Raw genomic sequence first — 26266 nt, forward strand, 5'->3', positions numbered from 1 at the left:
GTTTTTTTTCTCCTAGTGGTAATAACGGTCCCACTGTGAGTCATCCCAGCACTCCCATAGAGCCCATTCTGAGATGCGAGACTGAGTTTCCCAGGGCTACCAACTGGCATGAGGCTCAACAGGCTATTGCTGTGGGAAAGATTTAAGCAGCCCCATTACCACATAACTAATATCATGGAATTAAGTGTGCAAAAGCTCCAAATAACTTGCTCAGTGTCATATAGTAAGTCGGAGGCAAGACTAGAACTAGGAAGATCATCCATGTTTTTGGATTTCTAATGACACTGGTCTATCTGTACACATTCTAAGGCTCTTCAAGTGCTCAGAGAGCTAGTCAGTCTTCTCAAAAGAGGAAAAGGAGGAGATATGATTCATGTTGTAATGAGTGCTCAGTGTGTCCTGTGCTGTGATGCACACTTCACCAGCATCATTGTATCTGATCCTCACAATTCTATGAGGACAGTTAGCCAGAGGTCACGAAAACAGGCCACAATAGCCATGGCCTTCACCTCCATGCTGCTGCCTGAAAGCTTGGTTCTTGAAACCTCTTGGTGTTTTTTTTCTCTTTTTAGTATCATTCACAAATAAATCATGCAAATTGCTTAAAATATCCAGTGCTGTAGAAGCAATTTCATTGATTCAAAATTATTCAGTCATATGAATATTAATAACATGTAGAAAAATATTTTAATGAACTATGAATAGACATTTCAACCCTAAGAATCAAAATTGATGTTTTAGTGCTTATAGCTCTGATACTGATAAATTCAGTCATTGGGTTGATACATAAAACATATCAGTTTTATGTACTAAGGTGCTACATGAAATTCTCAAGGTTATTAATATCCTACATTGCCTGATGTTTTATCTGTTATTTTTCATAACATGCCTATTGTTGAGCAAGGAAAAAGAGATGACAATGCCATTCTTTTTCCTTGCTCTCTGGTGAGGCAGTCACCTTTATCACTTATTAAGAGTCAGCATCAAGTCCTGAGCTCCTTGATAGGAAATACTTTACCAGTGTCATCTCAAAGGAAGGACATGAGCAATAGCTGCTGTTGGAAGCCACACCTTGCTTTTGGAGAATTCTACTAAAATAAAATGTTAGCATTTGTTCTCACACATCAAAGACCTAGAAAAAAATCTGGTTTCACGTCAATGTGAAGCATAGCTGAATAATGGAAAGTGACCTTTGGGTTTTAAAAAATTCCCTTTCTAGGTTTTGTATTCATTTTTCTATGTACAAGACATAAAACTACAAAGAACTTGGACTACGTTGACAGTTTTTTGTGACTAAGACCTATTTGTTGTCAGAATGTTTTAATGCCAAGTCTCAGGATTTCAACTCTCAACTTACTCCCAATATCACTTTTAAAAAATTGTAAATAATGAGGTTTTGGAAATAAGGGTGCCTCTTTCTCAAAAGTTCCTTTTTGTGTGACTGTTTCTAGAATTTCATAGATAAATAAAAACAATATAGTTTTCTTTGCTAAAGAGCTTACTTGTTAAACAGACCATCAAAGTAATGGCTACATCTTGCATGAGATACTGGTAATTTCCAAAGAGTTGTAGTTGCTGAAAAAGAAACAAAAGCAAATATAAATGTGGCATCTGCCATCATAGCCTATTTATTATTCCCTACACTCTTTTTAAGTCGTTAGGAGGCAGCTGTTACTTTTTTTTCCCTCTTCAGGAAGAAAATGACTAACCTAAAATTATTAGCATCTCATTTTGTAGAATGAGGCCAGACGACTATTTTCCCTGCATTTAACCTACTTCATATTAGCGACAAAAGTCAATTATTTGAGAACCACCCTCCTATTGGGTGCATTAATTACCTGACAGCTGTAGTCTCAGCCTAGGCAGTTGAATTCTCAACATAAGATGTTAAAGCCTGAATGTTCCCTTAGAAATGTTATACTTAAAATTTGAAGTGAAGGCGCAATTCATTCAATAGGCATTGCTCTCCATCCTCACCCATGGTATGAGTTTACAACATAGGTCTCTTGGAGTCCATTCACTTTCACAAACTGAACAAAGGCTCCTACCCTAAGTAAGCCCATTGCAGAATTCAGTCGGGTACATCTGCCTTTTTAAGGTTTGTGTAGACAGAACTTCTTTCAAGTTCACATTATAGAGTTGAAGTATTTAGATATGAAAGTCAAATCATTACTCTCCAGGAAGTTGCCTTGCAATATCTCTTGCAGCCAGGTCTGTTTATCTGTTTCATATCTGTCGACTAAGCACTAAACTATAAACTGGTTCTGAGCACATTACAGACCAGATTTATGCACATGGAAAGTATTGCTGGCTTCTCAGAGAGTGAATCCAAGTCCCAGAAGGTACCAGGTTAAGGTTCTTCTGCGACACTCTTATTTAGGTCTAGACCACTAGAATGAATGGCTGCAGAGTGGACTATGGTTTCTACCTCCATCCGTGGAGGCTTTGGAAAATGAATTTCTGCTTTCACATGTTTGAAAGGCTGCCATTGGTTCCTCAGTGTCCCTGTCAACCTCCAATTCTTCCTGTCTTCTTTACTTTTCTTTCTCATATCCTTTCCTCTTCTTTTCACCTGAGAGTGGTAAAATTATATATTCAGAATGAGATGGAGCAGGAAGAAATTTCCAACCGCAGCTTTAGTTTTTCTTCTAGGAGAAGCTTTCATGGAACTATGGAGGGCTCTGAAAAATCAGCTTCCCAGAAGCAGGTTTTGGCCAAAGGCAAGACCTAATTTGTTCTTTTGGATGAAGAACTTGAATCCAGGTTTTCTGACTCCCAGTCCAGTTCTTGTTTCTTCCCACCAGGCTGCCTTTGAGCCCTCTGTGTGTGATTCTTGCAAGCAATAGCCCACTGGATGGTATAATCTTGTGGCCCTCTTATTCACTTCTCAAACCTCCCAGGAAAGCAATAGAATAATCCCTCCTGAAGTGTTCCTTGAGCCTGTTGGATCATTTTACTGTAGTACAAGCTATGGTTGGACTAATGAAGATTATTTTTAGCTTATACATAGTTCTTCTGTACAGCTAATTAATTTTTAAATGGCTATTTTCATCATTTAATTTTGAGTCTTTTTTAGTTTCAAAGAATTTCCGATTCTTTACTAATGATATCCCTGACTGTATAAATTCTAGGTACCTTCAGGAATAAGGGTCCATTGTGAAAGGTCTTTAGCATTCTAGTCCTTCAAAAGCAAATTCAACAGCTTCTCTTCCTTTTTATCTCTTCTTAGTCTTCCGTTGAAAATATTCCACAATTGGAGACTCATCCATTTCCTGCTGAATTATACTTAGGCTGCTTTGAAGCTCTCTTCATATTCCAAAAGAAGAAACAGGGGTTTGGAGAGGTGAAGAGTCTCAGGTTATCAAGAGAAAAACAACACACTAGAAAACTCATCTACATGTACTTATTTCTAGTTCCACATTTCATGCACAGTTACACCAGGTTCCTGAGTTTGCAGACACCTATTTTGAGAAATGTCATTTGTTTATAAAACATTAAATCTTGTATAGGAGCTACACCCTGAATAATAAATTAGGGACATAAATGCAATTAGAACTGAGACAAAATGATTTTGTTTCATACCCAATAGAGCAGTAATGCACTGATAAACTGGATTATGCCGTACATGGTCAAGTATTTAAATACTCCAAAGGATGAAACCAGAGCAGCTCGGCCTTCTCTGTTTAAAAAGAAATAAAAATAAAAATTGGTTATGTATGATAAATGTCTCCCAACTTCTTTTATACTTAAAACGAGTTATATTTTTAGTAGCCTGTTGACATACATTCACTTAATCATGAATTCATCCTCCTATTTATTTAACCACTCATTCATTCATTCTCTCCTTCAATCATTACCTTACTCATCGGTTCATTTACTCACTTTTATTTAGGGCTTATGAAGTACCAGCATTATGCTAAGAGTCATAGAGGATATAAAATGAATCAGGCACACTCCTCATTTTCAACAAGCTTTCAGTGAAGTGAGAAGATTACTATGTGTATTATAAACACAATACAACATTATGATAAGGTGCAAAATGTCAAGCATTGACTCACTTGTGACTCATTACATCTTAACAATACATGCTTCCTGGGAATTGCATTGTGTGTGCTTTAGAGGTCCTTGGAGACATAAAGCTAAAGGATAGGTGCTTTGACATTTTAGGAAGTGTGAATGTGACTCTAATATTTGAGATTAAATGGGTAAGGAAGGCTTTGATATTGCAGGAAGACCCCAGGGTAATAATCTGAGTGGGCCATAAAGATCAAGAGATCAAGACGACAGTAAAAAATGCAGCTTAAAAAGTAGATATTTCTCCTTTAAAAAAATTCGGTCTTAGCTATTAACGCAGTAACAGGTTTTCTGAATGGTGGATTATGACAGGTTAGAAGAAAAAAATGTGAGGTAGCAGCATGTGATGCGAGAGTGGGACCTCAGCAAACCAGCTCTCCTTCAGCCTCCTCTGCTCAGGGCAGAAGCAATCCACATGGGACGTGACCCACATCCACTTCATTTCTACTCCCCAGTAACATGGACACCTGCTCTGCTCAAAGATGTGGTCAACAGAACAGGGACATGAAAAGAAGAACCTAAAAGCCAAACTACTAACCACTTTGTCTCAGGCAAAATGAGAAGGCAAGGGTGGGAGAGAGGCCAGGATATTTTGGGAAGATATTTTCTACCAAGCTGTGAGGTGCTGTCGTTTGTTTTCAACACTGAGGATGGAGCAGAAGACAAGCTGAGAAGGGGCAAGCATGTGAAGTATGGATCGTTTTCCCAAGTCTGATATAAACATTGCGATTTCATTGTTTTTTTCTGCAATCGTGCATAGTTCCAGGAAAATTAAGACACCCAGATTCAAAGGAAAGTACAAGAAACTATTCTAAGTAAAGGATAAATGGGCCTCCAAAATTACTGCTATTCCTAATGATTGTGAATTTTAAGTAGCTCATGCATTTATCTACGCATTCTACAAACGTTCACTGAATGCTCTGATATACCCAGCATAGTGCTAGGCATAATGCTTGATACAAAAATCACTAAGACACAGTCTCTGCCCTAAAGGACTTGAACTATAGCAACAAGTAAATCATGTTTCAAAAGACAAAGATGAAAATCCGTGGATTTGATCCTATGCATCTAAAACTGTATCTCATTGCCTCTCTGGAGTGCTTTCTCAGGAATAAGTATGCATCAAGGATAGAAAAAGTAAAATGAGCCTAACAGAGCTGAACCATATCTAATTTTTATGAGTCTATGAAATATAAAAGCAAGGAGTTTCTACCCTAGCGTCTTACTGAGCCATCTGCCACTGGAGAAATTTTACATCATGACTTGTATTCCGTAACAGTACACTGCACTCATAAATGCACTGGGCCACATGCATGAGGAGGAGCATCTGAAGTTCGAATGCCACTGCATGTTGAATGGATCAAGTAGGCACTTTGCACTGTTATCCAGGAGCTCAAACTCCCTGCAAGGTCTCCACATCTGGTTGTCTAGCTTAACCACCACAATTCTCATCTGAGAAGTCTTCTAGCCCAGTTGCACCAACTGGCCCCTGCATTCTCCAGTTACAACACTGTGTCTAAACATGGCTGCCGCATTTTCCCCACCTGGAATTCCTTCTCACCTCCTTTCTGTTTACATAAGTCTCACCCATTTTTCAAGTTGCAACTCCCCTACTGAAAGCTTCCCTCCTGGCTTGAGTTCTCACACTCAACTGCCAGAACATTTGCTGTCTTGTTTGGACATTAATTTATTTCAAGCAAATTTATTGAGCACGTCCCATGTATCAGACATTGTATATATATAATTTTGTGTGTGTATGTGTGTGTATAAAACATGCCTGATGCATGAGAGACACTCAATAAATAATGTATATATTTGTGTGTATGTGTGTGTATATATGTTAATGTATGTATATATGTATATATGTAAAGGAGATATTTCTCCTTTAAAAAAATTCAGTCTTAGCTGTTAATGCGGTAACAGGTTTTCTGAATGGTGGATTATGACAGGTTAAAAGAAGACGTGAGGTAGCAGCACGTGATGCGAGAGTGGGACCTCAGCAAACCAGCTCTCCTTCAGCCTCCTCTGGTCAGGGCAGAAGCAATCCACATGGGAAGTGACCCACATCCACTTCATTTGTATGTGTGTGTGTATATAAATATATATACACACACACACATATTTATATATACATTCATATATATGTATATATGTATTTATGTAAATATATGTAACATGTTACACATATACATACACATACACACACACACACACACACACATAATTTTTGCTGGAATGTAAATTCTCCGGGGGCAAGACTCTCTCATTCTTTACATTTCCAAGCACACTTGTAAAGAGCTCCATGAGTTGTATTGACAATGGAAAGCATAAAATAAGGCGAGGGTTCTGAGTACTATCATCATGTAGTCACCATGACACAAACCAAGGTTAAGACACTAGAGATAGTAACCAAAGGGCTTAGAGATACTCTGCAAAATAAATCAGTAAAACATAATGCTTGTTTGGTTATGGGTGAAGAAGAGGAAGGAGTTACACGCACTCTAAGGGTCTGAACCTCAATGGCAGACTCCAAGGAGTAGACTGTTCTTAGAAGCAAGGAAAGTGGGAGTTGGGAAGAGGAGCTGCTTTGGAGGCAGGGGAAGTGATCGTGTTTGAGGGTGTGAAAGGACACACGTGCAGACACCCAGTGTTCAGGGTGTTGTGTAAAGCTGTCTTGCTGATATGCAGCCAACCAGGGGTGTGGAATTTTAGACCTGCTACCTTTAGGTCAGTGATTCCTGCCAGTGACCTGTTTATTCTGATGCACCAAAGGACATGCTGGGGAACTTCATGGCTGTCTTTTTTGTATGAATCTCAAAATCTGGTGATGGTTTTCAGATCACTGCCCATGAAAATGCCCAGAAATTATCCATAAGTGCTATAGGAAACAATAGATAAATCAGATTTATGAATAAAACATAAAACTGGGTGTTTTGTTCTTAACTACATTTAAAATATAAGTAGACATGAGATCAGAAATCAGAGTGGAGTGGAGGGGAGGGAAGCATGCTGTGAAAATAAACGTCTGTTAATGGCTTCCTGTATTAGTCCATTTTCACACTGCCATAAAGATTACTACCTGAGACAGGGTAATTTGTAAACAAAAGAGGTTTAATTGACTTACAATTCCACATGGCTGGGGAAGCCTCAGGAAACTTACAAAGATGGCGAAGGTGAAGGAGAAGTGGGCACCTTCTTCACAAGACAAGAGAGAGGAAGCACGCAGGGGAAACTGCCACTTTAAAATTCATCACATCTCATGAGAACTCCCTCACTATCATGAGAACAGCATCGGGGAAACTGCCCCCATGATCCAGTCAACAGGCTGGGAACCACAACTCCAGATGAGATTTGGGTGGGAACACAAAGCCAAACCATATCACTTCCCCTTCCCTGACACTGTCAATCAACTTTTTATGTAAAAGATATTGGATATTTACTAATTTGCATTTTGGAGACATGTAATAGTATTTAGGGAAGCTATCTAATGAAGTATTTCCTTTCTGCTTCCTCATCCATCCAAAATTCCTGAGAGAAATGTTACAGGAAGCATCCAACATACCAAATAGAGGAGAGAAAAAGTAAGAAATACAATTAGTTTTAAAACATCAAGTCAAGCTTTCAACTGTTTACATGATACCCACCTATCCTTTAAGGCTCAGCAAAAGTCACTTTTCTGTGGCTTTTACCAGCACTCTTGAGTAACACTAATGGCCCCCTTCATTGGTTCTCCAATAGCACTTCACCCATTCCTCTGTTGCAGCATTTATCACTTTAGCTTGTAGTTGAATTCTGTCTGCAGAGCCAGACAATGGGCCCATTGATTGTAGGGCTGGAAGAGGAAAAAATGACTTACCTGATGAGATGAGGCACACACTGGATGTTGGTTGTTTTAGAGGTAAAAGGGGATGCCACAGATGCTTCCTGCTCTGATAATGAAATGCCTGCATGAGCCGCTTTCAAAGCCTGGAATGATAAGCCCATGTCTCACCCATGACTTTTCAGGTTAGGCTTTACCTCTTAAAACACCAAGAGGCTGTTCTTCACATCATAAAGGTATAACACTGTACTGTTTCATCTTTGGGTCTCTGTTTAATGCTGTCCCTCCACCTGGAGTGCCCTCTCTCCCCTGATCCACAAAGTCACTAACTAAACAATGACCCAGAGGTAGAAAAGTGGTGTGTGTACATGCATGCGTGTGTGCATGTGGGCATGTGCATACAAGGGCCCTGCCTGTGGGGATTATAGATGTGAAAAGGAGATGGAAGCCCTCATTCAAAAACTCAATTAAAAAGATGACAGAATTTGGATGGACGTTGGTTGGGGACCTTCACCGTTTCAGTTCTTGTACCTGGTGGGAATCTTCATGAACAAAGGTGAAAGAATTCCTAGGCCGATCCTATAAGAATTGTGTGGGCATAAAATGAACTTTTATATATCTGTAGTTCCACAGAACTACAGAGTACCTGGCGCCATGAGTACATACTAGATTCAGGTTTAATAAATAATAGGACATTTTCTTCTTCCTCTTTGATCTCTAGTTCGTATCTCTATTATGTACTTTAGGACCATCTACTTTATGTTAGGGTTAGTTTTATTCATGATTCTTTCTTCATCAGACAATGAACTCTTTAGGAGGCAGAGACTATGTCCCTTTTTGCATTTGATTTTTTTGTTTTATTCTAAACGCCACATAATTAATGTGAGAGGATACGTATTCTAGATTTGAAAGAACAGACTAAAAATTAGCTTTTTCTCATGAAACATAAAGCAAAAAACATCTCTAGCTATAAAAATTTCTAGCTATAAACACAGTTTTCACAGAAATTTGGAAATAATATTTAAGAGAGAAATAAAACAAATACCAAGATCTTAAATCTCTAATAAGCTTTGGAAATACAAAGAAATCTTCCTCACTTCTTGTCCCATAAATCAGCTACTGAAATATTTCCTTAAGTACATAATCTTGAAGGTAGACTATTTGTTTCCTTCATGTCTTTAAAACTCAGAATATAAAACATTCACTGCCCTTCTACTGCATATGAAAAATAATTTGCTGATAATCATTTTATTTAGCTTTTTCTATAGCATAAAATAACTAAATAGTTTGGTCTAGGATTTTACTGAGTGAAAGAGTTCTGGGTGAAGCAAACTTAAAAACTAACCAGAGAATGAAAGTTTGGCAGGAATAAATATAATTTACATATAATTCAAAACTTTAATCATCAGTTTCAAACTTCGTTTCATTGAGTCTTTATCAGTTGTGTGACCTTGGGAGGGGGGAAGAAATCACCTCCTTGAGAAATCATTTCATTACTGATAACAGGAAAGATTTAAAGCAGATAGACTTGTAAAGTTCCATCTTTGGAACCTGAAATATGGGAGTCTAAGTAGCCTTCCTTTGTGTTTATTATTCTAGGAGTTTCCAGAAAGCATCGGAAGTGTCTCATCTCCCTTTACTCCCCTCCGCTTCCAACCCACACTCAGGTAGAGGTGGATATAAACAGCAAAATAATCAAATGGTTGCTGGTGGAAGGATGAAGAGACAAACCCCAGGAGAGCCTGAGGTCCTCCAGAGGGATATTAGTGAGTGGCTTGTCTGAGCAAAAGCCATTTCTACTCACCCCACAGTCGTTAGCTCCATCTCCACACATGCCCACATAATAACTGCGGGAGACAGGAGAAGAAGGATTAATAGGTAAGAAAAATGAACAGCTCACTTGAATATTTTCCATCATAACTAAGTCACATGTGATTTGTGTGTATGTGTGTGTCCCCTGAACACACCTGGAATCAGGCTGAAGAAAAATGGTTTGGAGAGACATATTCCCAGAGGGAAAAGGCAGTTGCGTTATTTAAGTTGTTTCAATCAATCACATTGAAATGGTAGTGATATAACCAAGGACATCGGCAAAACAGTGATTGCACACTTTAAAAGAAGTCCTGCTTGATGATACGCACCAAGGCCAAGCTTAAGAGTATGCAGTCATGAGCAGAGCACTTCCCACACAACCTAATGCAGAGATCATAACCCAATCCAGCTGCATTTTAGTCACTGACTGTTGCTGAGCATTTACAGCTCAAATACCAGGATGAGAAATTTCAAAAACAGTTTAACAGATATAACTAGAGACATATATTCATATTTTTGATGCATGTCAGGGTGAAAATAAGATATGTTTTCCATCTATATCAGTTTGGTGTGCAAGCACAATACAAATAGAAGAGTAAAAATTAATACGGCTGCCAAAGAAAAGGAGTTTCAGATGTAAGACACTGCCTGCCTTCTATTATAAGTTATACATTATAAGTATTGATAAATGACAATATTCTTAAAGACTTAGCTGCATTTTTCTAAAAACAGAGTTATGAAATCAATAAGGAGAAAAAATAAAGTTTTGTTAGCGTTTCGTTATTATTAGTTAATGCATAAGAAACAACCACTTTTATAGGTCAAAAACAGTTAATTAAATGTGGCCAGGCACGGTGGCTCACACCTGTAATCCCAGCATTTTGGGAGGCTGAGGCAGGCGGATCTTGAGGTCAGGAGTTCGAGACCAGCCTAGCCAACACAGTGAAACCCCATCTCTACTAAAGATAGAAAAAATCAGCTGGGCATGGTGGTGTGCTCCTGTAATCTCAGCTACTTGGGAGGCTGAGGCAGGGGGATTGCTTGAACCTTGGAAGCGGAGGCTGCGGTGAGCCGATATTGCACCGCTGCACTCCAGCCTGGGCAACAAAGCGAGACTCTGTCTCAAAAACAAAAAAAAGTCAAATGTAGGCACACCCCTATGGTTCAATCCGATACTGGGCTGTGTAGATGAAAATAATCATGCTATATATGTTCATGTCATGACTACCCACAATTGTTGAAAAATGGCTCCTTCTTTCAGGCTTAAAGCACATATTTAGTCTCTATATCACATCAAGAATCTTATCATCTTCTAGTATTCCCTGAATTCAGAAAGAGAATGCAGACAGCCTTATGCACATTGCCAATGACAAAGGCATGAGGAGGAAGATTGGGATGTTGAGAAGACAGCTCATTCTGAGGCAGTGTGTGTCTTCCTGAATTCATTTTTTAAGGGGAATATGGCTTTTCAAAGTTAGGCATTTTAGTTGGCAAAATTTCTCAGGCATTTGAAAAAGGTAAAATTACTTTCTTCAGCAATATCATGTAATGATCATGTGAATGAAATAGTCATTTAGTCACTGGTTACTTACCCAGCCTCAGGCATTCTGGAAGTTAATAGGCAGTTTGTAAGACTTCCCTATGAATGCTTGGGTAACAAAATCTAACAATAAAAGGGTGTCTCCTGATTTCACCAACAACTCACCAGCCATCATCTAAAGATTCACTACCCTATGTTCCTTTTCACTTCCTAGACTCTGCAGCCCCAAACTGTTACATTCCCAGAAACCAGTAGGTAGATCTGGTCTCAAGAAGTACCATTTCACTATAAGGTAACTTGGTCATCTTTATTTTTGAAGGGGGTAATAAAGGACTTTCTCTTGACTTTCCCTGCTGGGGCCAGATAAAGGCAAAATGCTATTTCACCTCTTGCTAAGAAGACCAGAAATTATTCACATATCTTCTAATGGACCAACCTAAAATAATTCCAGGGTATAACGCACCTACTTCCCCATTTTTCTGATTCTAAGCTATACAACCTGCCCCACTATTTCTGCTACATCCAAGCATGGGAGGGTTCTCTAAGATATATGCCTTATGGCCCACAGAACAAATGCTCTCTGGAATAGGTAACTTCTAAATGGCCCTCAGCGATCCCCAGCTCCTGGCATCCACGCCCTGTGTAATCCACTCCCCTGGACGTGGGCTGGATCTAGTGGCTTACTCCTAAGGAAGGGAATACGGCAAGGGTGATGAGACTGGCATATAAAAAACAGCAACATCCGTCTTGTGTGCTCTGTCTCTGGTTCTTCTTGCTTGCTTGCTCTTTTAGAAGTCAACTGTTGCACTGTGAGCTTCCTTATGCAATGGCCCCTGTCACAAGGAACTGAGGTTGGCTTCTGTCCGCTAGCCAGTGAAAAACTGAGGTTCAGTCCAACCGCTCATGAGGCACTGAGCATTCAACATGTGAATGAGGCTGGTGAGAGATTTTTTTCCCCACTCAAGCCAGTGCTTGAATTTTTTTTTAATCCCCTTTTTTAAACTTTTATTTTAGGTTTGGAGAACATGTGCAGATTTGTTATACGAGGGAACTCATGTCACGGAGGTTTGTTTTACAGATTATTTCATCACCCAGGAATTAAGCCCAGTACCCAGTAGTTATTTTTTCTGCTCCTCTTCCTCCTCCCACCCTCTGCTCTCAAGTAGACCCCAATATCTGTGTTTTTCTTCTTTGTGTCCATGTGTTCTCATCATTTAGCTTCCACTTGTAAGTGAGAACACAGTATTTGATTTTCTGTTCCTGCATTAGTTTGCTAAGGATAATAGCCTCCATTTCCATCTGTGTTCCTGCAGAAGTCATAATCTCATTCTTTTTTATGACTGCACTGTATTCCATGGTGTGTACGTACCACATTTTCTTTGTCCAATCTGTCATTGCTGGGCATTTAGGTTGATTCTATGTCTTTGCTATTGTGAATAGTGCTGCAGTGAACAGTCACATGCATGTGTCTTTATGGTAGAATGATTTATATTCCTCTAGGTATATAGCCAGCATTGGGGTTGCTGGTTCAAATGGTAGTTCTGTTTTAGCTCTTTGAGGAATTGTCATACTGCTTTCTACAATGGCTGAACTAATTTACACTCCCACCAATAGTGTATAAGTGTTCCCTTTTCTCTGCAATCTTGCCAACATTTGTTATTTTTGACTTTTTAATAATAGCCATTCTGACTCACACCTGAATTATTGACCCATAGGTAGCAAGAGTTAATGAGCACACTCTTCTTTCATGCCATGACACCTACTTTAATTTCTGAAATTCTTCAATAAGGCTTGATTTCTGCCCAGGAGACATTCTTGCAAAAACTGTTCCATTCACCAGAATCTAAAAAGAAAAAACAACCATTGCAATATGATTGGGAAGAAGAAAACTTTTAAAAATAAAAGAACAGCCCTGAAAAATCACTCCTGGTTACTAATTTAATACAGCATTGGATGGTATGTCATTAGACCAATACCAGGAAGGGAAATAAGGAGATTTAACACTTTAATATTGAAATTTCACTTAAAGTCCTCCATCACAACTCCATTACTTTTTTCCCAGACTATTTTTCCAAGATGGGGTGACCACTAATCAATAATACTACAGTAACTAAGAAGCAGAAGAGCATATGGAATAAAAATGCTTGAGGAAACACAGTTCTTTCCTGATAGACACCATCTCCATAATCATAGCATAGACAGAGGAAAGGCTGGAAGCTGAGAAACAAGGCTCTGTTCTCAGCTGTGCCAGCTAGCTGTGCACACCTTAGACAAGCAGATTAATATCTCTGAGTCTCAGCTTTCCCTGAACTGAACTAAGAGCTTTCTAGAAGCCTTTGGGGTCTAGATTCTGTGGACTTTGACTGCTAGGGTGACAGAATTTTCATGACACTGCTAACAGATAGTTGCTGCCCTCCCCTTGTGCTCCATTAATCTCCCGCACATTGACAGTGCAACCCTGCACAGCACTATTTTAAAACAGGACACACAGAGGACAAGATAACAAATGACTCTGAAAATAAACCATGGGGCCTTTGTTTCCTCTTGCTGTAATTTAAGAATCCAGGCAAGAAGGGGAATAGAGCTTAGCCTGACATGAGCTGGTTGGTTTCAGAGAGAAGCTGGCCCTCAAAACAAGCACCGTGTTTGGAACTCTGCCGTTCTCCTGGGTGGGGAGGGAAAGAAGGAGGAAGGCTGAACTGGCCACAGGGGTGAGAGAAGGTACCAGAACTCAAACTCTGAACGGGAGGCCGTGGGTCTGCCTGGGACCGAGAAGGCATAAAAAGGGCCAGAAAACTTTTTCAGGAGCAGTACTCCTTTGGGGGTGTTTATTCTCTAACTGTGAGGCAACCTCAGTGATCACTGTTTTCAATACTCTCCTCCTCCTTTCGCCTCGCTGATTTGAGGAGCAAAACAAAACACTTCTTTCTTCAGTACTTACTTTTGGAAGCAAGCTGTTGAAATGCTGAAATATCACTTGGTATGATTTCCCACTCATTGCAAAATGGTAACAGCTTCCTCCTTCCCCACGAGGGGTTGAACTGTTTCCAGTATGCATGTAGATTTCCTAAAATCAAAAGGGCATCATTTCTACATTGACTCCTAAGGAGTGTCTCTGCTTTCCTATGCGTTATTGAAGGAAGAGTTTTCATGTTGCCTAACAGTGTGAAGGTCAGCAACAAAATAATGTGTAATTTGCCTATAGCAGTTCTACCCATAGGAAAAAACACTCAAAACATTCCCCCCAAGATTATGTAAACATATGATACTTGGACAGTATGGTACTCTGGATCCCGTCTTGGGAGATAATATGTATGATGTCAGTCTACTGAAGAAATCCAACCATTCTTAGGTCCCAAATAGTTATTACAAGAATAGGAAAATTCTTCCCTCTTCTTCCTTCTCCTCCTCATGCAACCTTATATTTTCTAAGATCTCTACCATTCACTTATTCCAAAATCACCCTCATTGTCTTCACTGTAAAGCAGGCACTCTTTCTTCAGTGCCTAACTCCTTTTAGGCCCCAGCCTCTGACCTTTGTTATGACCCCACCTCAACAGGTATCTCTTTCTATCATGGTTCCCAGATTCTCTTCCATACTCTACATCCCACTGCAGGAGTAATCCTTTTCCGAAACCCTTTCCCTCCTTCCTTGCACCTGTCAAGGTGTTTCTCTGGCTTGGTTCTAGCCCTCCCTGGTTCCCAGTTAGGGAGAAAGCATCTGATGAATGCCTGTGCATTCATTATATCAATAATTAATCATGGTTTTTCATGCAACATTCCTCAGAGAGACTTCCATTTGTGTTTAGGACTCTAAATTCAAATATTGCAGGAGGTGAGAAAATTTTATTCATCAGATGACTTCATCTCAGGGAAAGCATTGTAGTTGAAAGAAAAAAAAATTGCTGTGCTGAATTGGGAGGCAAGATGACACACCCCTCCCTTTCTATCTCCAATTGCAAAATAACCAACAAAAGACATGTTCTAAAGCATCCCTCCTGAGACAAGGGCAGGAATTCCTTTTGCTTGCACTGGGAATGTGGGGAGAGGAAGTATGGTGGAGGGACCCAGAGAGGAGGAAGGCCTGAAACTGTGATACAGCTTCTCCTGGTGGGGACTAAAATTTCAGCAGAGGCATTAAATTCATGAATGAGTAGTGTGAGTGGACTGTTAGTTAAAATTCACAAAGGACCTGGGTTACAGCATGCAGTGAAATTCAGGCAGCATGCACCGATGGAGAAGCAAGTAGGTTCACAAGGAAATAAGCACCAGAAATCTGCTGAGAGCAGAGGGAGAGCTGTCATCTTTCACAGCCCATGCAATTAGAGGTTGAGGCAAGTTAACCCACCTCTTCCCAGGGTAGGGGCAGGGCCATTCTGTATAGCTGTGCAGTTTGTGTGCTGCAGAAAGACTCCTGACTGCACAAAGGCCCGCTCTATACTTAACAATCTGAAAGGCTGGTCAGCCTGGAGGAAGGCAGCATTTTTGTAATTCATCACCTGTAGGGCCATATCTTTGAATTCACACAAAAGCATGGGTGTTACCTTTAGTGATGGAATGTAAGGCTACAGCCCATTGTCTTATGAAAAAGCTATTCTGTCACAAGAGCATAGGGAGCTTTCTATCTAGAAAAGCCCAGCCTCTGTTAGCTTCATGTCATAGGTATAGTACAATCTAAATGCCCGTGGATCTGTGTGGAATCAAATAGGCCTAAGTCTGCTTTCCTGCTCTGCAACTCACCAGTTTTTGTATTGGGCAATCTTACTGCTCTGAGCCTCAGTTTTCTCATCTGTAAAAATTAATGGTTTGCCCAATTGCATAGGGTTATTTTAATGACCAAGTGGAAAATATGAGTATAAATCAGTAGTTCTCAGCCATGACTGCACACTGGAATTGCTGGGAAAAGCACCTGATGCCAGTTCCTACCCCAGGGGTTCTGATTTAATTGGTGCAGCCTGCACTGGAAGCTTAGAAACTCCCCCAGGTGATTTTCCTAGGCAACCAGAGCTGGCAGAAATGCTTTGCAAACTGTCAAACTCTGGACAGATGTGAGGGATTATTACTGAGATGACTCCTGGAGTTGAGAGAAGGCTGAGCAGTGCCAGGACTGTATTCCATCAGTCTAGGCCCACGGAGGGGCCTTCTAACATTTGCTCACTTTCTTCCCAGGTCCAGTCTCTTGGTTCTCCACCAGCTGCCAGGTCACAGAGGCAGGAACAAATTCTTCTGGTTCATCGGCCTCAACAATGATCACTTGGCTGCCTGGAGGGATCATTTCAGAATTCTTTGCAACAGTAATGGCCGTTTGAAGGTTATCACCTAGAAGACAAAGAAACTTTGCTTGCTGTATGTACAAACCTCCCCTCAGCAACAAGAACTGAGGTCTCCCTTTTCCACTCTGCTTGGTGTTCTTTGAGAGCATTTACCGCTTTCTGCCTTATTTTATCTTCCTCTCTGCTGTAGACTGCCCCTACTGGGCAAACACTATGTTCCCATCTCCCTCTCCATATTCTGCATCATATCCTGGTCCATGTGTATTTCAAAACATGTGTGAATTAATAAAGAAATACTTAAGCATTTATGACCAATCCTCAGAAGACAGACAACTCTTAGTGGAGAATATAGCATGATCTCAGCCTGATAGCTTAAACCATCCACGGGATCTGGAAACTAACTAAGCAAAGAACACACAGGGTCAGGCTGTGCTTGGGTTTGACGATCATACACCATGCCTGGCCCTACTGCCCTAGAGGACCATCAACCAGAGACTCAATCCTCTATGCAGAGGGATCACTGGGTTTCTTGATGAGAACACACCCATTCTTGCTCATTTACTGTGAGCCTTGAGGCACCGCACAGATCCTGGCTGGGAGGGGTAGTCATTAGACAAAGAGGATGAGATACGGTCCCTACCTTCAAAGCTTCTGGTCCTGTCGGGGCAGCTGCACATGTTTTTAGGTAAGGGACTACAGGGTAACAAATTCGACAACAGAACATTTTTCCCTGTCTCTGATACATGAACTCACTCAGCTCACACATCTTGTTCTTATGCCTAGGATACAATCAACTTGCCAGGCCCCTAGAAACAAATACATACCTGTAATCATCACAGTCCTGATACGGGCCTCACTCAGTTCCTTCAAGACCAGTTTGGTTTCTTTTTTCAAGCGATTCTCCATGATGAGAAGTCCCAGAAATGTTAACTCTGACTCCACTTTTTCTCTTTGTATTCAGGAGAAAATCAATATTAAAGTATATCTACGTAGGCTCCATAGTTCAATTTATTTCTTCTTTTAAAAATTTATAAGTTTTATTAATGCAATACAGGCACATTTTAAAAATCAAAATGAACTTAAAAGCTTATAATGAAAACCAGTAGTCTGTCTCCACACCACCTCACCCCTCTCCTTCCTAGAGGCAACCACTTCTAAATCTGTTTTTTCCAGTTTCCAACTTTATTTTTAAAAACAATGTGCTTATCTTCCAACTCTTCTGTTGGTTTTTAAATATGTTAATCAAATATACTTTATTTTTTAATTTCTCAGTGCTTTGTCTTTTTTGAGCTTGCAATCGTTTCAGTTTATTTGGCATTTATTAAGGGCATTCTGCATACATACAAGACACGATAGTAGTAGTTGAATACAGTGTCATTCATCTTAGTTTCCATCTGTCGCCTTGAATAATATTTACTGGCATCAGACAGGGCTCTGAACAGTTTTCGGAATTTGAAAGTGATGGCTTATAGTCCAACTGGGTTGCATTAGTTATGTAGGAACGTTCCTCTGAAATGGAATCACTCTTGGGTGGCTTTTTAAAAAGTAAATTTGGGGGCCAAGAACTCTTTTTTGATCTTTGTTCATTTTGCTGTGCACCGTGGTGTTAAGATTACAGGGAGATAGATCTGAACAATATGCATGCAGCTGTGAAGCCATTACCATAATCCAGGTAATAAACATATCCATCACCTCAAAAAGTTTCCTTCTACCCTGTTTTATGTGTGTGTGTGTGTTAAAATCACTTCTCTAGAATGTATTCATCTTGCATAACTGAAACTTTATATCCATTAACAACAACTTCCTATTTCCCCCTCCCCCTAGCCCTTGGTAATCACAATTCTAGTCTCTACTCTCTACTTCTATGAATATGTCTATTTCAGATGCTTCAGATAAGTAGGATCACACAGTATTAGGCCTTCTGTGACTGGTTTATTTCACTTAGCATGATGTCTTTCAGTTTCATTCATGTTGTCTCATATGGCAAGATTTTCTCCTTTTCTAAGGCTTAATAATATTCCATTATATGTACATATTACATTTTTAAAATCCATTCATCCAATGATGAACATTTAGGTTGTTTCCATATCTTGACTATTATAAATAATGCTGCAATGAACATAAAGGTGAAGATACCTTTTTTTGAGATCCCAATGTCAGTTCTTTTGGATATATACTCAGAAGTGGGATTTTGGACCATTGGATCACCTGGTGATCCAATGTTTTAAAAAATTAAAAACATTCTATTTTTAATTTTTTAAAGAACCTCCACATTGTTTTCCATAGCAGCTGTACCATTTTACAAAGGTTCTAATTTCTCTATATCCTTGTCAACTTGTTCTTTTGTTTTTGTTTCAAATAGCCATCCTTACAGGTATGAGGTGGTATTTCATTGTGGTTTTGATTTGCATTTCCCTAATGACTAGTAAAGTTGAGCACTTTTTCATATATCTGTTGGTCATTTGTACGTCTTTGGAGAAATGTCTATTCAGGGCCTTTGTTCATTTTTAAATTGGATTATTTATTGATTTTTCCTATTGAATTGTGTCCTCTGTACATTTTGGATGTTAATGTCTTATCAGATATATGGTTTGCAGAGATTTTCTGCCATTTTATAGGTTGCTATTTCACTCTGTTATTTCCTTTGCTGTGCAAAACTTTTCAGTTTAATATCCACCAGCAAAAGAATGAAATTGGACCCTTATCTTATACCATACGTAAAAATCAACTCAAAATGGATTAAACACTTAAACATAAGACCTGAAACCGTGAAACTACTAGAGGAAAACATAGGGAGAAATCTTCTTGATATTGGTCTTGGCAATGATTTCATGGCTATGACACATAAAGCACAGGCAACAAAAGCAAAAACAGGCAAATGTTCTTTGTTTCTATTTTATGATGCTTCTTCTCGTTCACTACTTTAGGCACTTGGCTGCTTGTTACCCTACAACACTCCCAGCAGTGCTTGTGTCAAAGCTTTTGTACCCACCATTTCTATTCCCTGCAATGCTCTTCCTCTGGATATCTGCGTGTCTTTCTCTCTTATTTTATTAAATGTCTGTTAAAATGTTGCTCCTCTGAGGACTTTGCTGATTGCCTAGGCAAAATGACATTCTCTGTCTTTTTTAAAAAGTCCTCTTAACTTACTTTATATTTTCCCCCTCAGGTCATTTAAGAACCACTAGTGGGATAATATTTTATGGGTTTATTTTCTAATCTATTTCCCCAACTAGGATATATTCATGAGGACAAGGATTTTATTTTATTCACTTCCAAATAAGTTCTCAATTCCTTGAGCGTCTGACATACAGTTAAGTTCAATACAGATTTGCTAAACTGGTGAAGGGGTGAGCCTTGATGGAGTATTTATCCTGCTGTTTTAGTTTGGGGTGACTTTTTACGTCATCTCAAAAAACTTTTCTACTTCCCCATTATGACTCCAATTTTTAAGAAGTTTTAAATTTTTCTAGTTGGAAAACTTTGCTAAATAGAATTTGATTCTAAGAAAAACCAAAACCCTATCCTTTTACCCTGTTTGAAAATAGTAACTAAATTCTAAGAAGTATAATAAGTTCCTGATATTCCCCAAAAAAACCTGGAATGGTTGGAAATATAGCACATTTTATCTTCATTTTCTTATTTTGTTATATTTATAATGTCTATCCCACTAGTGGCTCTTACATGAGAACAACACAGCTGCGTTTGTATGTGACAGCTGGATGATGGCTACACTCCATCACTAGCTACATAGATCTTTTCTTCACACATGTCCTTAACGTTGATTATTCAAATTTGTGTTTAGAAAATTACAAATCCTATGTGGTCTGGACCTTTATGTTTGCTCAAGAATAGCTAACACCTGGAATGTTAAATCTGAGAATGACATTCATATATTTCAAAATAAGCTTTGTGATCCTGTTTCAAGTATTAAAATGTCATGGCTGAAGGCCTTCTTGGAGATCATCCAATTGCATATTTTATAGATGGTGAAACAAGCACAGAGTAAGGAAGGGACTGTGTTTACTAATTAACTTAGAGTCAATGGACTTAGGTTGCAAATAATAATGTTAAACCAAGGATATCACTATTTTACATGAAGGAGCTAGCTGTATATAAATTAGCATTTATCAGCAACACAAATCCAATGTAAGAAATAAATAGATTTTCTGCTATTCAGTTTTCCACAGTATTTTTTTACTCCTTTGTCATAGATAATTTGAAAATAGCCTTTAAAAACTGAAGAACGTTGAAAGAAATAATAATTTATAAATTATCCTCTAATGAGGACAACTTATCCCTGTAATGTAATTAAGAATACTGAATTTTATTTCTCATAAGTAATTCAATTTGCCCTTGTTACCTTCACAGATACGAAGGAGATGTTGTAGTATTGAGCACTGAAAAAACCACGTCTAAAGTATTCTCAAAATCTTTCAAAGTGCCAACTGTCTCCCTCTCTCAACCTCTCTGTGTATGGGCCACCCAAGTTGATTGGTCACATAATGCTCTGAGGTTGAAGGAGCGTTGGTTGTTTTGATGGGATGAGAGCTGCGACTAAAGTTGACATAACATAGTGCCAAGCAGAGATAACACACTGGTATCTTGGAGTCAGAAGCTCTCAAGTACCATCCTTGTTCTGCCACCAACCAGCATTGTGACTTGAGCAAGTCATCTCCAGTATCACCTACAATTATCCATCTCTGAGTCAGGGGACTGTACAAGATTAATTCTCTGTCTCTGAGAGCCTTCCAGGTGATTAGAACTGTTCATCTGTTCATCTCCAGGACTCGCACTTCATGGGCACAGAGCCTGCTCTAGTGCCAATTTCTGAATTGCTTACCTGGCTAAGTGCTCGACTTCTGAAAGATTCCCCATCTTTAAGGTTTTGTGGGCAAGAGCAATGACACGGAAGCCTTGCACCGTGTAACTCCTCAGTTCCTGTGGGAAATTCTTGGGCACTGCCAGGGTAGAAGAAACAGGTAAGTGTAAGGTCATGTTGAAGGCTGGTCTAAGCAAGACTCCAGGACACAGCCATTGTACCTTGTCTTAACTTTCATTCCATAAAAGCACTTTAATAGAAAACTTAGAGCTTCTCCTAAAGGCCACAAACAACTTCATCAGTGTGTTCTTATTATTTTGATGGAAAAAATGTCAAAGCCGTGCTGGTCATTTACTGCGTTATGGATGGAATGTGTCCCTCCAAAATTCATATGTTGAAGCCTAATCTCTAATGCAATAGTATTTGGAGGTGGGGCCTTCAGGAGGTAATTAGGTTATGAGGGTGGAGCCCTCGTGAATGAGATTGATGCCCTAAGAAAACACATCTCTCTCCACCATGTGAGGATACAGGAAGAAGGCAACCATCTGCAAACCAGAAAGAAAGCCCTCTCCGGGAACCACGTTGGGCAACACCTCTATCCTGGCCTTTCCAGCCCCCAGAACTGTGAGGAATAAATTTCTGTTGTTCAAGCACGCAGTCTATGGTCTTTTGTTATAATAGCACAAGCTGACTCAGACAAACTGGGTGTCAAATGTACCAACTGGGTTCAGTAAGAACAGACCTCAGGACTGGGGTACTTGGATAAAATGAGAGAAACAGCTGATTTTCTAGATCAGGGGTCAAAAAAACAAAACTAGGATGCACAGGCTAAATCTGGTCTATAGCTTGTTTTTATAAATGAAATTTCACTGAAACACAGCCATGCCCATTTGATTGTTCATTGTCTATGGCTGCTTTAAGGCTTCAGTGACAGTGTTGAGGAATTGAAATGGACGCCATGTGATTGGCAAAGCCTAAAGTAAGAACTATCTTGATCTTTACAGAAAAGTTTGCCAAATCCTGCTTTAGGTGAAAGATGACACAATGCCAACATTTGTGTGTTTTAGCATGGCAATCACAACTATGTTTATAAAATCTTTATGATTTATAACGTACCTATAAGGGTATTAGAGGGAACCACAGAACAATGGGAGGTATAGTAGCTTAGGTGGCAAATCAACTAAGTTCTATTCTCCCTTCCACTTCCATGTGGACCTTAGTCATGTTCAGTCTCCCTTCTGCACCTTAGTTTCTCATCCATAAAATGAGAATTCCAGATCTCTCTGTCTCCATTCATTTCAGACTTTCTGTAATTCTAAAATATTCCTGGAGGTGGGAATCTAATTTCAAGAAAGTTCTTAGCTCTCTATTTCTAAAAATGGGGTACGGTGGTGGTGGAAATCACTGAAGATAGTATTAGCGTAAGTCAAAGATTGGAAGTTGGGAAAACAGGAAGAACTGAAAGAGCTGCCAGGAAAACAAGTGCCAAGTGACAGGCCCAAATCCTTACTGAGAGAGCAGGGACAATAGATACCAGTTTAAATGTCAAGAAGATGCTCAGCTGTACCCGTGTAACTGAAACAAAACAAACACAGTATATGTTGTAATCAGTGAAGGACAGAGTTAATGTGACCTATGCTGAAGATCAAAGACAGAAGAAAAGGGGCTAAAAAAAGACTCCCAATAGAGAAGTTAAAGGAATTATTTGCCAAATCTAGAATTCTCTGCACAAGTTGATGGCCATCAGCAATCATAAGGAGAGTCTACATGAAAATCGGAAGACAAAAAGACCAATTTTATCCAAATGAACTCATTTGAATGCAACAACATTCTTATACATCTGGCTGCCGCTTAAAGAGTGCATATGTTTATAAGACTAAAAAGCAATACAAATCAGCTCAAAGTCTGGCCCAGAAAGATGAAATTGCTGTGAAAATTATGAATTATCTTGCTCTAATACCATTGAATTTACTCTGATCACTTTTATTTCTGTTCTATATTCTTCTATATTCTCCTCCCATCGATCTGATTCTCCCTGGAGGTGACAGAGCAGTCATGTCTGCAGAACTTACCTAGCGTCCAGACCTCTCCATTTCCCTCATTCACACCTCCCCTAGTTCTCTGACCCTCAGTAGCTCCCTATTCTGGCTCCTGATGCAAGCTTCACATCTCGTCTCCTTCCCAGATGCCTCACTGTGGTTGTACTTTTCTTACTGCACCCACAGCCAGATATTTAGTCGCTGCCTCCCAGCCTTGAAATTATCACCCCTGCTTCTTAGGATCTACTGGGCCTACTTTGCACCTACCCAGGAAACAAGCAGCTCCACGTTCATTGATTGTGAAGCTTTCTGTGTTTGTTGGCTTTATGTATTTGGTCTCGGCTGGCCGCGGTGGCTCACACCTATAATCCCAGCACTTTTGGAGGCTGAGGCAGGCGGATCACTTGAGGCCAGGAGGTTGAGACCAGCCTGGCCTACATGGTGAAACCCCGTCTCTACTAAAAATACTAAAATTAGCCGGGTGTGGTGGCATGCTCCTGTAATCCCAGCTACTTGGGAGGCTGAGGCAGGAGAATCACTTGAACTTGGGAGGTGGAGGCTACAGTGAGCTGAGATCGTGCCACTGCACTCCAGCCTTGGGGACAGAGCAAGATTCTGTCTCAAAGAAAAAACAAAAGTATTTTACTTCTTGAAAGAGAAAAGTGTTAGTACCTGTTTCAGATCTGCAGAACCTGGCCACCATTTCTGGGGCACCTTTCATGTAGACATGGAAATGATTCTCCCCAGCTAGCTGAGCGATCACGGACATCCTCTGCAGGCTCGAGGAAAATGGAAACTGGCACAAGGTGATGATGGCTTCCACTGGACTCTGCAAGCCCATCAACAACAGGGAGCTTAACAAGCTGCTAAGTGATATTTCCAAATGCATACCAACAAAAGGGCTTTACTGTGCAATGAGCCCAGAGACATCTTGATGTAGTATATTTGTCACAACATTGATTTTGTGTGTGTGTGTGTGGCTGCCTTAAAGTGACTCCCTCAACAAGTTGTCTGGACTGCAAGGACCTTCCCCTGGAGAAATCCTAATCACCTTCCAGGCCAAGCTCACAGGTCATCTCCTCTGCAGTGCTTTTATCTCCCAGAAACAGTATTCATTCCCATGTCAGGACTCTTGAAACTCTTTCTTCAGCCTTGATTATAGCATTTGGCACATTGTGTTGCACTTATCTGCACCTATATTGATTTTTCTATGAGTCTACCTGTTCCTCCAACCCAGAGCCAAGTGTGTCTTGTTTTGAAGCCTCTTTATCTGCTAGCACCTAGCACAATGCCCTAGCGTACACAGGTAGTGTTTGTTGAATAAATTAATAGACAAATTCGGAAATGAAAGAAACAGCAAACCAACCGTGGAAACTGTTATGATAAGGCAAAATAATAGGACTATAAAAATATGTGCAAGTCAGAAATGTTTTACCAGTTTTATGGGGAAAGAGCTATGTGATGTAAAGAAGGAAATCATACCTTACTGGCTTTTGGTCCTGGTTTTATGATGTTTGAAACTGACGTCCCAAATTTGCAGGAGTCTACAATGCAATCTTCCATTTTCTGTTATAAAATGAAAACATTCATAAGATTCTTTGAATAAAAATATTAAGAAAGAAATATCTCTTATTTGCACAATACTTTAATCTTTTCAAAGCCATTTTTACATATTTTCTCTTCCAGGCCAATTATCTTAATACTGTCATTGTCAAATTTCTGTTGTATCGATTTATATTAGGGGCCTTATTGTAGAATGTCAAAAGCCAAAAATATTGTGAATTCATTTTAAGAAGTAATTGATGGAAGAAGTGCTAGCTACAGGTCCATGGATCTTTCTAAATGATTACATCTAGTAATTGGAGGAGGGATTAAGTGGAGATGTAGTCTCCAACATTGCCGAGCACCATAGCTCTCAGATGAGTTAGGACTGGGTCCTGAGATAAACATGGCACTAGTTCTTCATACTATACCTATGCTACTAGCCTAATTGAGTTAACTAGGGAGTTGGTATGTCAGCTGCTAGCAAATTAGAAAGCCTGTTTGAAAATGACGTGTATTCTTTGGATATTACAACAGAAGTTAATACCTCTGAGAAGCCAATATTAACCAATATTAAAATATGGGAAAGACAGTCATATATATAAATAGTAGAGGTCAGAAAACAGGAGATAGTATCTGGTTTCCACTCTGCCACTTACCTGTTTAATCTTGGGGACACCACTTTATTTCTGTAGATCTCAATTTCTTCTGAAAAATATTCTGACATCCCATCAAATGCTAAAATTCTTGACAGTCTAAAAGGACAGTTTCCCTCCTCTGTATGTGGAGTGGAAGGTTCCCAGTTACCAAAAGATACTCAAGACAGCTTCTGACACAGCTCTAAACTCAGTGAAAAATCATGCATTTTTATGCTTTGTTTGGGATGGATACAACTATTCTTAACAGATGGTTCTTACAGAGCTAATACTAAAGATTTATATTCCCAACCAAGTATGTTATTTGTAAAGACAGATCAGCCCTCCTATAATGGAGAGGGGGATGTAGTTAGGGCCAGGACCAAAGCCAGATATAAAATGACCCTGCACAACTCATCACCGTGTTTATCCCAATGATTCTGTTAAGGACACTGCTTATAGTAAATACACCGATTCCTCTCCATTGAGATCCAGAGAATTGGTCACTATGTCAAATGTTTTTCCACAGCAAATGCTCTATTTTAACTTGCTGGTATCAGAAGTTTCCCTTTTTACCAGGTTTCCTCTTTCATTGATTTGCCCTCTAGAAAGCTAAAATTTCCCTATTATATGTCTTTGTATTAGCTTCTTTGTTAGGTGTGCTTTGTTTCCCTGCAATCATTTGTTCCCATTCTTTTGCAGCTATGTT

The 26266-nt window shown here is 39.6% G+C and overlaps 1 protein-coding gene and 1 long non-coding RNA gene across 5 annotated transcripts in view; one reads left to right on the plus strand and one right to left on the minus strand.

The window, feature by feature from the left end:
- The window catches only part of ATP13A5 (ATPase 13A5), a 103965-nt gene that overhangs the window by 22840 nt on the left and 54859 nt on the right, over positions 1–26266 (minus strand). For 3 of the 4 annotated variants that reach the window (NM_198505.4, XM_047448075.1, XM_011512770.3), the window contains 11 exons: positions 24863–24946; positions 24053–24209; positions 21363–21480; positions 17344–17468; positions 16405–16565; positions 14188–14313; positions 13010–13089; positions 9699–9741; positions 7931–8040; positions 3583–3679; positions 1503–1575 (listed from right to left, as the gene is read on the minus strand). In NM_198505.4, coding sequence (NP_940907.2) covers positions 1503–1575; positions 3583–3679; positions 7931–8040; positions 9699–9741; positions 13010–13089; positions 14188–14313; positions 16405–16565; positions 17344–17468; positions 21363–21480; positions 24053–24209; positions 24863–24946 — 1174 coding nt within the window. Of the gene's footprint in view, positions 1–1502; positions 1576–3582; positions 3680–7930; positions 8041–9698; positions 9742–13009; positions 13090–14187; positions 14314–16404; positions 16566–17343; positions 17469–21362; positions 21481–24052; positions 24210–24862; positions 24947–25581; positions 25672–26266 lie in introns of those variants that run through there. The other variant, XM_017006305.1, reaches the window with a different exon arrangement.
- ATP13A5-AS1 (ATP13A5 antisense RNA 1) lies at positions 9616–16893 on the plus strand. The gene is made up of 2 exons (NR_046758.1): positions 9616–9772; positions 16416–16893. It is a non-coding gene; the product is annotated as an ATP13A5 antisense RNA 1 (long non-coding RNA).

Source organism: Homo sapiens, chromosome 3 (assembly GCF_000001405.40).
Source record: "Homo sapiens chromosome 3, GRCh38.p14 Primary Assembly".
Lineage (NCBI taxonomy): Eukaryota > Metazoa > Chordata > Mammalia > Primates > Hominidae > Homo > Homo sapiens.